Source organism: Homo sapiens, chromosome 21 (genome assembly GCF_000001405.40).
Source record: "Homo sapiens chromosome 21, GRCh38.p14 Primary Assembly".
In the NCBI taxonomy this organism is placed as follows: Eukaryota; Metazoa; Chordata; class Mammalia; order Primates; family Hominidae; genus Homo; species Homo sapiens.
The window spans coordinates 27441508-27455478 of NC_000021.9; the positions used below are offsets into that span (position 1 = coordinate 27441508).

At 37.3% G+C, this 13971-nt stretch overlaps 1 long non-coding RNA gene across 2 annotated transcripts in view; it reads right to left on the reverse strand.

The window, feature by feature from the left end:
- LOC105372762 (uncharacterized) overlaps nt 1-7133 on the reverse strand; it is a 54823-nt gene extending 47690 nt beyond the window's left edge. For both annotated transcript variants that reach the window (XR_007067830.1, XR_001754990.2), the window contains exon 1: nt 6871-7133. This is a non-coding gene — a long non-coding RNA (uncharacterized LOC105372762). The remainder of the gene's footprint in view (nt 1-6870) is intronic.
- Between the last annotated feature and the right edge of the window lie 6838 nt (nt 7134-13971).

The window sequence follows — 13971 nt, forward strand, 5'->3', positions numbered from 1 at the left end:
TTGTTTTCTAACTTTATTGAGATGTAATTCATAATTTTTTAATATACTCACAGTATATAATGTGATGATTTGATATATGAAAAATTGTAAAATGATTGCTACAATCAAGTTAATCACCACTTCCATCACTTCACTTAGTTACTATTTGTGTGTTTATGTATGTGTTTGTATGCGTGTGTGGTAAGGACACTTAAGATCTATTCTCTTAGCAAATTTTTATAAAGTGACTTTTTGCAGGTGTACCTCTCCTCTCATTCCATTCTGCTATGTAACCCTTCCACATCCCATGTTGTGTTTAGTTGGTTGGAGAAGCTTCCTTAAGTATATCCTAGACTTGTCAAATTTTATGGTCATTTTTCTTCAAATTTTATATTTGGATTTTGATTGCCAACTGGTCTCCATAAGCATGATTAACATTTAGAAGGGTTTTTGGATTCTTAATCAACTAGGATTCTAAAGTTGACCAGCTTTTATTACAGCCTATAAAGCAATCGTGATCCAAGCTTAGAATCTTAGGTGTAAAATAAATATAAAATATGTAACTATTGGGCTTTTCTTTATCTAATCATATTACACAACAAAATAGCAGCTTCTAATACTTAATGTAAAACATTTCAGAACTTCCACTCTGCTAATCTCAAGAAATATATTTATTTCTCTCATCCTCAAAAAGTCTGAGGACTCTAGGGATGCTTATTTATTTCAAATAATTAGTACTAGTGACTATTGTATTATAGACAAGAGATTGGAATGTCTGAAAAGCCCATTCAAGAACCTTATTCTTATTTGACTTCTGTGACTTACATAGAGTTCCTGCTGAAACCCCCAAATATAGCAGTTCTGTGTTATACTTGTTTTGTCTCCACTGTTTGTTGTGGACCTATATATTCATCCCGGATGCATTCTTTTCTGCTTGTTTGTTTAGTCTTAGGATAATGATCTTGATACATAGCCCAAGATAGCTTAAAAGCAAGTCTTGATTTCAAGCAACAGCATGGACAAAGGTTGGGGTGGGGGTAGAGAACCTTTAAATAATACGGTATTAAAGTTGCACACGTCAATTCTTCTGACATCCAAATGCCCATAACTTAGTTGCAAGGTGTATTAGGGTTCTTAAGAGAGACAGGACTAATAGATCAGATGTATAAATGAAGGGGAATTTATTAAGGAGTACTGACTCACAGGATCACCACGTGAAGTCCTACAATAGACAGTCTGCAAGATGAGGAGCAAGCCAGTCTGAGTCCCAAAACTTCAAAAGTAGGAAAACCGACAGTGCAGTCTTCGTTCTGTGGCAGAAGGCCTGAGTGCTCCTGGAAAATCTCTGGTGTAGGACCAAGCATCCAAAGGCTTTAGAACTTGGAGTCCAATGTTCAAAGGCAGGAAGCATCCAGCTGTGAGATGGCCAGAAGACTCACCCAGTCTGCTCTTTCCATTCCTGCTTTTATGCTGAAGGCCGATTAGATGGTGCCCACCCAGATTGAGGGTGGGTCTGCCTCTCCCTTGTCCACTGACTCAAATGTTAATCTCCTTTGCCAACACCCTCACAGACACACCCAGGAACAACGTTTTGCATCCTTCAATCCAATCAAGTTGACACTCAATATTTACCATCACAAGTTTGGAACTCAGAAAATTTCAGCCTTTATTTTGTGTGGCCAAGGGCTATCCTAAGAATAATTTATTAGCATTAAGGTAACCAGGAGAAGGGCTATTGGGGTATAACTATTGCTGCCATTGTCCACTTCTCTGGATACCCCACAAATTCATTATATCAGTCTTCCAATTATAAAATATGCACCCCAACCTCCACGAGCAACCACTCATAAGTTCTATGCAACTGCTTAATAAGAGTGCCCAGCATTTTACAATGATATTGAGTGGAATCATAGCCAGTACCCAGAAACCTAAAATACAAACTATTTCTAAGCCCTTTCTTCTAATACAAAGCCAATACCCAAAGGGGGAGTAATCCCAAGATAGCTGAACTTAACCTCTTGTTTAGAAAAGGGTAGAGTCCAGATATAGAAGGCTCACTGAAGCCATAATAACTATCAAATGCAGCTGGGCAGGAACTGAGACAACTCCACCGGGCAGCAGAGTAAGCCACTGGTCTCATTAAGATTTTGTTCTGTTATGAGCGGAATTGTGACCCCCAAGAAAAGACATTTTGAAGTTCTACATCCCAGTACATCAGAATGTGACCTTATTTGGAAGTGTAGTGATTGAAGATTTAATAAGTTAAGACAAGGTCACACTAGAGTAGAGTAGGCCCATAATCCAATACAACTGGTGCCCTCAGAAGAGGAAAGAAACACAGACAAGGAACACAGGGAGAATGCGACGTGGAGATGGAGGATCAGAGTGATGTATCCACAGTCAAAGGAAAACCAAAGATTGCCAGCCCAGTAAACCATCAGCGGCTAGAAAGGGGCAAGAGAGGATTTTCCTACAGGTTTCAGAGAGAGCATGGCCCTGCTGACACCTTGATTTTAGACTTCTAGACTCCAGGACTGTGGGACAATACCTTTCCGTAATTTTGAGCCACCCAGTTTTTGATACTTTGTTACAGCAGTGGGAGTTTCCTTTGTATTCTTCCCTCTCCATGGCCACATCTGAAGTGACCTCTGGAAAGTATGCACTTGGAAGGGAAGCCCAATTTTTTTTTTTTTTTTTTTTTTTTGGAGACAGAGTCTCAATCTGTTGCCCAGCCTGGAGTGCCGTGGCGCAATCTCGGCTCACTACAAGCTCCGCCTCCCGGGTTCACACCATTCTCCTGCCTCAACCTCCTGAGTAGCTGGGACTACAGGTGCCCACCACCACACCCAGCTAATTTTTTTTTTTTTTTGTACTTTTAGTAGAGACAGGGTTTCACCGTGTTAGCCAGGATGGTCTCGATCTCCTGACCTCGTGATCCGCTCGCCTCGGCCTCCCAAAGTGCTGGGATTACTGGGGTGAGCCACTGCGCCTGGCCTGGGAAGCCCAATTTTTATAGCATGCTTCCTCATGGATCAAAGGCAGGGCGTCAAGAGCTATCTTGGATGTTGTATTACTACCGATTGTGGCCACTACAGCAGTGGTTTGAATGACAGGCAGGGAGGATGCAGATTTTGCAGGCTCTTGATCCCTGTTATGACACAGAAAAACTATTTCATAAAATCAATAAACAACAATTGGATAATAAAATTTTTAATAAAATGATTGTTGACAAGTGTTTACTGAAACAATAGAATTAAGAGCAATACTAATTAAGTATTGAAAATGTCAATGCATTTTGGATGTTTTTGGCCATTTTCCACATCGTTCTATGAGAAAGATAAATACGGGCTCAATTAGCCTACAGGCAGACGTAACAAAAACCATGATTCTGATAAGGAAGGCATTCCCTGCATGCAACCTGAAATACAAACTGACTGGGAGGCCAGTTATTTGCAGGCTGGCAAATTTAAAATCCAACAATTTCTGTATTTCAAACTAAAACAAGTAAAATAGAAACAAGAGGTTTAGCCAAAGATAACTCTAGCCTCACATTTTCTCAGTGTATCTCTGCTTTTGCTACACTGTTTCAGTGGACTCACTCACTTTACTCCTTTGTTGAGACACCTCCTCTAAAAATTGATGTGATTCCTTGCATCTTGCTTACAATTATTATTTTCACTTGCAATTATGTCCTATGTTTCCTCAATCAACAGTTTTCCCTTCTTTACTGGATGATCCTATTAGCAAACATGCTTCCATAGCTTCTATCTTCTTTTAAAGCATAGATTCAATTTTAAAAATCAAACAAACCCACATATCTACCATGATCTCATATTTATCGCTACCTACCATCCCATTTATATCTTCTTCTTTATATCATAACTCTCAATGATAACTAAGTAATTTATATGTATACTCTCTTCTTCCCATCTATACTTTTTGACCTTATTTCAGTCAGGTTTTGGCATCCACCACTGTCTTTAAACTATTCTTTTCATGGTCATGAATGATATCAAAGTTTCCAAATTCAATGGCCAATTCTCAGTCCTCCTTTTACTTTTCCAAGTCAGTATATTTTGACAGTTAATCGTCCTCCAGAAGTAATTGCCAAGTACTATTTCTTTCAAAGCCTTTACATTGATAAATTCGACATGTATTTTCCCAGTTTGTTTTTCCCATGACTGTAAAAGCCAATGCCTCTGATATAATTCCACTTTGATACTTAATAATCAAAACAATCTTGGCCATTCTAAAATATAATTCTTAATTCTTTGCACACCACAAGATAGAAGAAATGAAAACAAAAACAAATGAGCAAATAAAATTCTCTTCTTTTCCCAAGAGTTTTGTATTAGTCAGGGTTCTCCAGGAAACAGAAACAATAGGGATGGGTAGGTAGGTAGGTAGGTAGGTAGGTAGGTAGGTAGGTAGATGGATACATAGGTAGACACATAGATAGATACATAGATATCTTGTAGGAAAATCTGGGTTCTTGTCACACAACCAGGAAAGATTAGGCTTGCAGACACTTTGAAGGGTAAGGGGGATGGAATTTCTTGGGCGAAAAGGAGAAAGGAAAACAACACGGGAAAGCAAGAGAGGGGTTCCTGTTAACAGGCCCTCATCTCATAGATTGAATCCCAGTTTCCCATACAGGAAGAGGAGGGGCCAGGCTCCTCCCCACTGCAGACGGCATGAACTTCCGGTGGCTCCACCTTGTTCTCCCAGTGCACAGACTGTACAGAGGTTCTCCGGGCACCCCTTTATACTTGGCTGTGATAGATAGATAGATAGATAGATAGATAGATAGATAGATAGATGATAGATAGATAGATAGATAGACAGACAGATAGATAGAGGGATAGATGGATGGTAGAGTACTATTATAAGGAATTGGCTCATGTGATTCTGGAGATCGAGAAGTCTTAAAAACTGCAGTGAGCAAGCTCGACATCCAGCAGAACTAACGGCCTAGTTCCAGTCTGAGTCCAAAGGCTTGAAAACCAGGAGAGTTGATGGTGTGGTTCTAGTCTGAATCTAAAGACCTGAGAACCAAGAGAGACGATGGTGTAAGTGCCCGTCAGAGAGCTGGAAGGCTCAAGACATGAGAAGACTCAATTCTTTAGTTTTAGTCTGGAGGCAGAAAAATATCAATGTCCCAGATCAAGTAGGCGGGCAAACAGACATCTCTTACTCAGCATTTTTGTTCTATTCAGGTCTTCAATTGACTGGATGAGGCCCATCCACCATAGGGAGAATAGTCTGCTTTACCCACTCAAATGTTTCTGCTGATTCAAATGTTAATCTTTCTAGAAAAACTCTCACAGACACATTCAGAATAATGTTTGACCAACTGTCTGGGCATGCCATGGTCCAGTCAAATTGACACCTAAAATTATCACAGTATCATGTCACAGAAAATGGCACCATTAAGCTCCCAGTTGTTCAGATCAAAACATCTGAAGTTAAGCTTGACTCCCTTTTTTGTACTCCTTACATGCAATCCAGTAGAAATCCTGGGATCTCTATATTCAAAACAGCTCCATTATCCAACTACTTCTATCATCTCCACTGTTATTATTTTAGTCCAAACTAAGACCATCTCTCATCTTGGCTGCTGAAATAGCTTTCTAACTCAACTTTCTGCTTCAATTCTTGTCCCTCTAGAATTTATTCACACTGTATGTAACAAAATTCTTCTAAAATACAAATCAGATCATTTCACTTCCAGGAATGTAATCTTTCATTGGCCTTCCTTAATATTAGAAAGAAAATTCCAAATATGTATGTTGATTTACAAGGCTCGCTGTGCTCTAACCCCTGGCTACCCTCTGATCACATTTCCATTTACCAGCCCCTCTGCTGACTATACTCTAGCTGGAGTCCTGTCTCCTTCTTAAACAGACTTTTCCCTGAGGTAATTTTCACTGAGACATTCAAATGGCAAGATGCTTTCATTCATTCAGATTTCTACTCAAATGTAACCACCTCAACGTGATCTTTTATGACCATCTACCCAACTTCCATCACCATCACTCCCTCCCTGGCTTTATATTTATTCAGAGCACTTAATAATGCTTGACTGTTTATCACACATTTATCAGTTATTATCAAGGTCAACTGCCAAAATCTAAGCACAAAAACAAAATCTGTCACTGTTATCAATGCTGTGTGTGTGTGTGTGTGTGTGTGTGTGTGTGTGTATTTTAACTCAATGCTTTATTTTCCTTCCCTTTATCTGGTCTATATTGAAACGACTCCAGTTATCTTCATAAGTTTCAATACCTGTAAACCACAAAGTAAAGTCCATCTATATCCCAGATGACTCCTTAAAGCTTAGACAATACTGCAAATGCATACATGGAAACATTTAAGATATGCATGCAAAGAAATATGGAGATAACACAGCTCCATCTGAATTGAGTCCAGCCATCAACAAATATCTTGCCAACCATTCTCAAGAATTTAGAAAGATATTTGTCTTAAAGTAATGGTCTTATAATGACCATTTGAGTAATTTTTTTCAAAGCAGAGAGTTGCTGCAAGATAAATGTCACCAACAGTAGAAACACAATATTAGTAACTTTCAAGTGATAGCTCTTTCAGTGAAATAATAACTTTAAAGCACCGTTCTCCCCCTCACAGTTGGAAAATCCAACTCTTCTCAGCTCACAATACATCTGACAGCCCCAGTTTCTCCTAAATCCCATCCCATAAATCTCAATGATAACATCAGCCTGGGTGCCTTAGCCTGAGTCCAGCTTCAGACTCTGAGTAACTTGGAAACATTATGGGAGTAGACACATGTCTACTTCATTCCCCACTGTATACCCAGCCCCTAGAACAATGCCTGAATGCAGTCAGGGCTCAGAAATCACAAAGACTTCTTACCTTACTCATTCTTCTCAGCGGCTCTGGAGATATCTTACCTCTTCTTCCAACCAGAACTTCTTTGGTGAGCAATAACCCACTAACCCAGAAGCTTGAGGGTAAAACAGAGCTAATACTGCTGGAAATCAAGTCCAGAACTTTGATAGCAGTGGCTTTATTAGTGTAAGTGCCATAACATGCTACTCTATGTGTGTGAGTGGGCAAGAGACAAGCAATGAGGAGGCTGCATATCTTGTGCCTTGGGGTTGTGCCTATTAATTTCTGAGGTTCACCTTGTTATCCTAATCTTAAAAGGATATGGCATTTCAAATTTGAGCAAAGACCCAAGGATAAGAGCTCACAACCTTTTGCCATTAGGAATAATGACGTGGAAAGGATGAACAATATAAACCAATATGTTTGAAACATGTCCTCCTGTTTTTTATTATAAACTATTTTAAATGCTGACAAATTCATTTTTTATACAGCTATAGCATCTTAATGTTAGCTAATTTTACTATTTAGTAAATCTTCCATTCATTCCATCTCCTAGCCTCCAGTCACCCTTCATCCTGGGAGTGAAGGTCAGAGAATAGCAAGGAGGAACAACTAATTTAGAGGAAACCCTTAGACATTTCCTATGTAACCATTCAATTAGCAAAGAAACGCCAGCTTTAACGTCATCATTTGTGCCTTGACCCAGTGACTGCCCATTAAACAGAGGAAGGGCAAAGCCTATCAGTAGCTTAGCAACCAGCACATTTTCCTTCCCACTTAAGGTGAGCCTCTATTCAGCAGCAATTCCGGCCCAATTGACGTTCATCTGGCTGAGTAGTTTCCTTCCCCTACTGAAATAGGAAGATCCTACAATTATGTGCTTCCCCACGGTCGAGATGTCAGGGATTAGACTCATAAAAGGCAAATCTTAGCCAATTGGATGAATATCAAGAATAGAGTACAATTCCCAAATTAGAGAGTCTATAAAATACCGTCTATTTACCACCTTTTTTTACCCTCCGTGATCTTATAGCCTATTTGCCTCTTTTTCTAGATTGCCTTACTTAATTCTCTGGCGGGAATGAGGCAGATAGATAAAAGAAAAGCAATTGATATGCATGAATTTAATCTCACAAACGGAGTATTTTGTTTATCAAAGCAGAAAAGATACCCTTAGGGATAACTTTATTCACAATACCATGAGTAAAGTAAATTTCAAGACAACATTTGAGGGTAAATAAACTATTCTAAAAGGTCTGTCAAGAACCATTATCCTTGAAAATGTTAGCAATAAATAACATAGGTTTCAAGGAAGTTCTACAATAGGGTAAAGCAAATATGTTAAACTAATTTTCATTTTGGTAAAGAAATAATATTTTGAGAAATATTAATGTAACTTGGGTTTGAAAAATGCTGTATCAAATGTGAGATTTTTTTAATCTCATGGACAGTAAAATGCTATTCTCTGAAACAGATGAAAATATGCTTTTTTATTAAATAATATATTTCAAACGTAACATATTTATTATGAAATTGTGCTATGATCTTAAATATATTCTAAATTTAGGTAAATTAAAAATTATTCTAGTAATTGGACAAACTATTTCTGTCGAATTGTGATTTGTGTGCATGCAAATGGAGATAAATTTGACTAAACTCCATAATGTAACATTGTCAATTTTTTCTAAAACGTGTAACCTCTTCAGGTTCTGAGTCTAGGAACTAGGCAATTGCCTCTTTGCTTACAAATAAAATATTTGGGATATGTAAACAGTGGTTAACTGTCACTTGTGAATTATTATTGTTCAAATGGTAGGCTCTTAGGAGTAACTTCAAAATTATTTTAACAATATATTTTTCATCAAAAATATGTCTTTAATGTTGATGTTTCATTCTTTATTACTACAGAAATGGTACCTTAGTTTATTAAAGTTTTTCTACCACATGAAGCATACACAGTATTTAGTATATGGTCAGATGGTTTAACCTCAATTTCTGGTTGTTTTCTGTTAAGAACTGAAAGAATAGGAGTAAACCATGTGAAACAGGAAAAGAGGTCAAAGTTGGTCATAACTTTAAACAGCTGGGGCTCAATCGTTGGCCACCTTAAAGTTGCATGAGGGAGGGAAAACATGGGCTTTCCTTCACTGGCTTTAATCCTCCCGTGGTCAAGGGTATCCCCAAGAGATGTTAGCTTTTCTACATTACGAGGTTTTTTTTAAGCCTCACCTGTACCAGGCAGATCCCTTTCAGAAAAGCCTGAGAAAAATGCTAAGAGATTCTTGGCAGAGCTGAAGCAAGATGCTGTCAGGTTCAGCTCTGTGAAGCTGATTGTACAGCTGGAGTAGAGGTGAGCTGAGAGGACTTCACAGTAAATATAAGAGGTGTCCTATGGGGTGCATCTTTGCTCAGATATCCCCCTAACGAGCTCCATTAAGTCAAATTCATGAGAGAAACTTCAAGGATGCGGACCAGTTGTAATCTGTTCTAAAGCCTTCACACTGAAGAATTAGTGAAGTAAGTTCCAGTCTCCTGTACAGCCACTGGTACTGATCATTGTTTTCATTGCCTCTTCTCTCCACTTTTCCTTCTATATCTCCCTCACCTTTGAACAGCACTGTGGGATGCATAGGTTGTTTGCTTAGTCAGATAATATCAGTCTTCATCCTCAAAGGATCTAAGGTCTTAGTTGCTTTATATTCGCAAAGCTGTGGTTGCTGCAATTGTATTCTTACAACTAGTGCTGAGAATACAAGCACCATGAAATGAATGCCCTACTTAATGCCTCATGTTCAGAAAGTAGACCTTCTTACCCTCCTTAGTAGCAGCAACCTCAGCTCCTATATTCAAGCTGAATTACCCCTCAACAGTATAATAACTCTTCGTTTTGTCTGCTCATTTGCTACAAAAGCACAAAGTAACTACGTTTTACTTTCTGGTTGAGTGGTTCCTCTTCTGTACGAAACAGGTGCTCCTAAGCAGGACAAATTGTTCTTTTTATACTTACCAGTGTTGCCAGGCTATGGTCCTCTGTTATTCAATCAAAGACTAATCTAGGTGTTTCTGGGAAGGTATTTTATAGAGATGATTAAAATACATAATTAGCTGACTATAACTGAGGGAGTTTCCCTAGATCATCTGAGTAGGCCTGATTTAATAGTTGAAAGGTCTTCAGAGCAGAGCTGAAGTATCTCTGGAGAATAAGAGATTCTGCATGACGACAGCAGCTTCAGACTGTGCCCAAAACTTGTAGCCTGCCTTTCCTGATGGCCTGCCCTACACATTTTGGACTTTCGGACTTGCCTGACTGTATCTTATAATCACACAACATGCAGGCCAATTCCTTGAAAAAAAAAAAAAAATCCCTCCTTAACCCCTGTAGGTACTGCTTCTCCTACTAGATCTGTTTCTTTGATTGAATCATCCCGACCCAGTAGGTTCTGTCTCTTTCTGTCTCTAAGTTACCTATTGCCTGGCACATTGTTTTAAAGTAACAAGCTTGGGCAAATTAGTGATTTGTCACAATTTGTACTTACAGCTCTTTTATATGCCCTCTAAACACTATCAACTTTAATTTCTTTTTATACCACATCTTTTGTTCTATAACAAATTTCCATAAATTCTTGCTGAGATATTAGTTGGACATGTAACAGACAACAGATAGGATGTTAACTAAAAGAATGTCAATGTCACCAAGAAACTGAACAAGAGCCAAGTTTCTAAGGAATGCAAACAACATGGGCAGATGACAAGTGACGGGTCTAATATTTTTATATTAGCCATTATTTTTGCACAGACTCAATAAAGAATTAATTAAATACCCCTTTGGAACCAGGGCCATTTCAGTGAGTTACAGCACTTGAAACTAAAATTGAACATTTTAAAATGAACATGTCCCATGAGGTAAACATTCTCTACTGAAATATGGTCAGCTACTATGAAAACCTAATGATTTATCTTTTGAGACCCATAATTAAATAATAAGTCTCAAACCAATAGTATTGAGATAAACAAATATTTATAAATTCTGGGTCATTGAATGATAGAAGACATAGTATCTTAAATTTAGCTGACTGATTTAACGTGATCAAGCCATTTGTAAGTGGATACCAATATTAATGAATATCTTTTATTAAACCCTAATACTACTTTTGTTTATTTAATATATATATTTCTTAAGTATATGTAGCTGTTTATTTTATATATATATTTATTAAGTATATGTAGCTATACATTTAATATATATACATATACTTTAATATATATAATTTAGAAATCATATCTTTATATCTATACCTATATCTCCCATGAAGTTGAATTAATCTCAGAAAACTGAGGCAACATCTGTATTTGTCAGTATGAATTCCTGTATGCTACAGTAACAAACAGTTCCCCGTATATCAGGCAGAAGTTAGTATTTTGCTCATGCCACATACCCCATGCGCATTAGCAGCTGCCTCTGCTCACACAGGGCACACATTAGCAGCTCCAGTCTGCTTGATGGAGGCTCTACCACCTCAATCACAAGGTTTCATGGTTGTGTGCTGCCTCATAGCTCATCATCTTGTAACTATACCATCTTCAACATGTGGCCTTGATGTAAGCTCAGTAAGCTAAGAGAGAAAATGGAGAATTGTGTATAAACTTTTTATTACTTCACCTCCAGTGTGGATCATACTACTCTTGCTTACATTTCATTAGCTAGGAATAATTATGTGAACCCAACCAAGGTGACTGGAAAACACACAGAACAGTAAGTAACCAGAGTGCTTGTTGAGTACCCTTTCTTCATTACAGTCCTCTCTTACAGTCTGCAATGTACTTCCTTTTCTCTCATCTTCTTACATAAAGACTCACTCAACTTCTCCCAAAGAGGTACACCCAAAAGTCTCATGCACTCTTTATTTTCTACTCAAAAGATCTCCAGAGATGTGTGGCATATTAATTAATAAATAAAAATATGTAGTCAAAGAGGCAAAATAACTTATTATATTATTTTGATGTCTGTCAGAAGGTAGAAAATATAATAACAGCTATTAGAATCCAAGATATGTTACAAATACATGAAAGTATTTATAGATTTATACAGGTTACAATGAGTAATTTCCAAGTCTGACAATTGTGTTAATTCCAAGATTTGAAGTATCATTCTTTAAAAAGTTATGGTTAATGAAGAGTGAAATACATCAATAATTCTGGGACATAGGAACAAAATATTAACATAGGAAGAGAGAAAAGAAACAATTTGGTATAAATAAGCAGTCACTCTAAGTTTCTTAGGACTTACTATTTGATGACTAGGGGCTAAGATGATATGTACACTTATTTACTTAATTTAATTTTCCTTTCTTCCACCACTTGTTGACCTATTATAAATATAGAATTCCTAGCACATTAAGGTACTATGTGATATTTTTGTGTTTTTTCTTTGTCTGTATTAGTCACAATTCTCCAGAGAGATCGAACATAGGATATATATAAATAGATATATGAAAGGAGATTTATTAGGGAGAAATTGAATCACACAATTACAGAGACTGAGAATTTACTCATATAATTATGGAAGCTAAGAAATTCCATAATAGGCAGTCTGCAAGCTGTAGTACCAGGGAAGCCGTTAGTATGGCTTAGTCCAAGATGGAAGGCTTGAGAACTCTTAGTTTGAAAGCAATGGCCCAAGAGCCCCGGGGACCACTGGTGCCAGGCCTGGGGTCCAAAAGTCAGAGAACTTGAAGTTCTGATTTCTAAAGGCAGAAGAGTGTTCAGGCTCTGGAGAGAAATAATTTCTCCTTCCCCTGCATTTTTTGTTTTTTAACATCCATGCCCCTTACCAATTGGATGGTGCCACCTACATTGAGGGTGAATCTTCCCCATTAAGTCCACAAACTCAAATGCAAATCCCCTCTAGAAACACCCTCACAGACACAACCAGAAATAATTATTTACCAGTCATTTGGGATCCCTCAACACAGTCAAGTTGACACCTACAATTAATCATCACAGTATCTCAACAGTTGAAATGGAATAGAAGGCTAAGTTAACAATTGTTTCCTATACACTTTGCTTGACAAAATACATGAGCTGTTCAACAGTCATCTTTGCCTTTGGGGTTCCTTTACAATAGAAGATGGAGGAAGAATAGCAGGATACGTAGTGAGTAATATTTAAATTAGTGAAATAAATACAATTAATATTGAATCATCTTGCTATTCTCGTAGACCCCAATTGGAAACAGTGCAATGTAATAAAAAGTGCACATAACTCAGCTGCTTTAATTTCTACTTTAGAATGAAAAAGCATTAATCTGTCAACAAACAGAAATCATCAACTCAAACTATTGAAGATAATGCAAATGCAAGACACATTAATATTTTCAAAGTATTAAAAACCAGTGAATAAAAGAAAGTATATATAAAAATTGTATGCATTTCTCAATCAAAATTAAACATATTTGTTGATTATCATCATGAATAAATATGAGGGCTACAAACAAATTTACTGTGTGGAAGTACCTTTGAAACATCATTTAAGTAGAATTAAAATTTGCTAAATACTAAATTTGAATGTATTATTTTGTCTGGAAGTTACATGGAAATTCCTTAGCATACTTATCATTTCTATCTCTTATAAAAGTAAATTTACTTAATATAGTCTGTGCTCCCATTGTAGACATCAGTCTCTTATTAGGTATATGGGACTAAAGTTTAGACCATGTCCTGTGGGACCCAGTTAACTCTCTCCAATCCCAGCTCATGTTATTATCCTTCTTACACATGATGTGACAAATGAATGCCAGTGGCTACAAGGGCAGGTGAATAAAACTAACATTCCAAGATAGAATTAAGCCTCAGGTTGAAATTCTCTATGAAGTAAATGCTGTTTATTTGGTTTCTGTCCCCTGTGGCACCAAAATTTTAAATTTAGCCATTTGGTAGAACTAGGGTAGTTTCTATATGATGTTAACTTCAGAAAGTTAACTTGAGCAGGACTAAATGTTTCTTAACTTGGAAATTTATGGCCATGGTTAAACATCTGAGAAAGATTGATTCCCCCATTTGATTAAAATAAAAAACAAGTAAACAAAAATTTCTAGATAAATACATGTATGCATGTATACACATATAC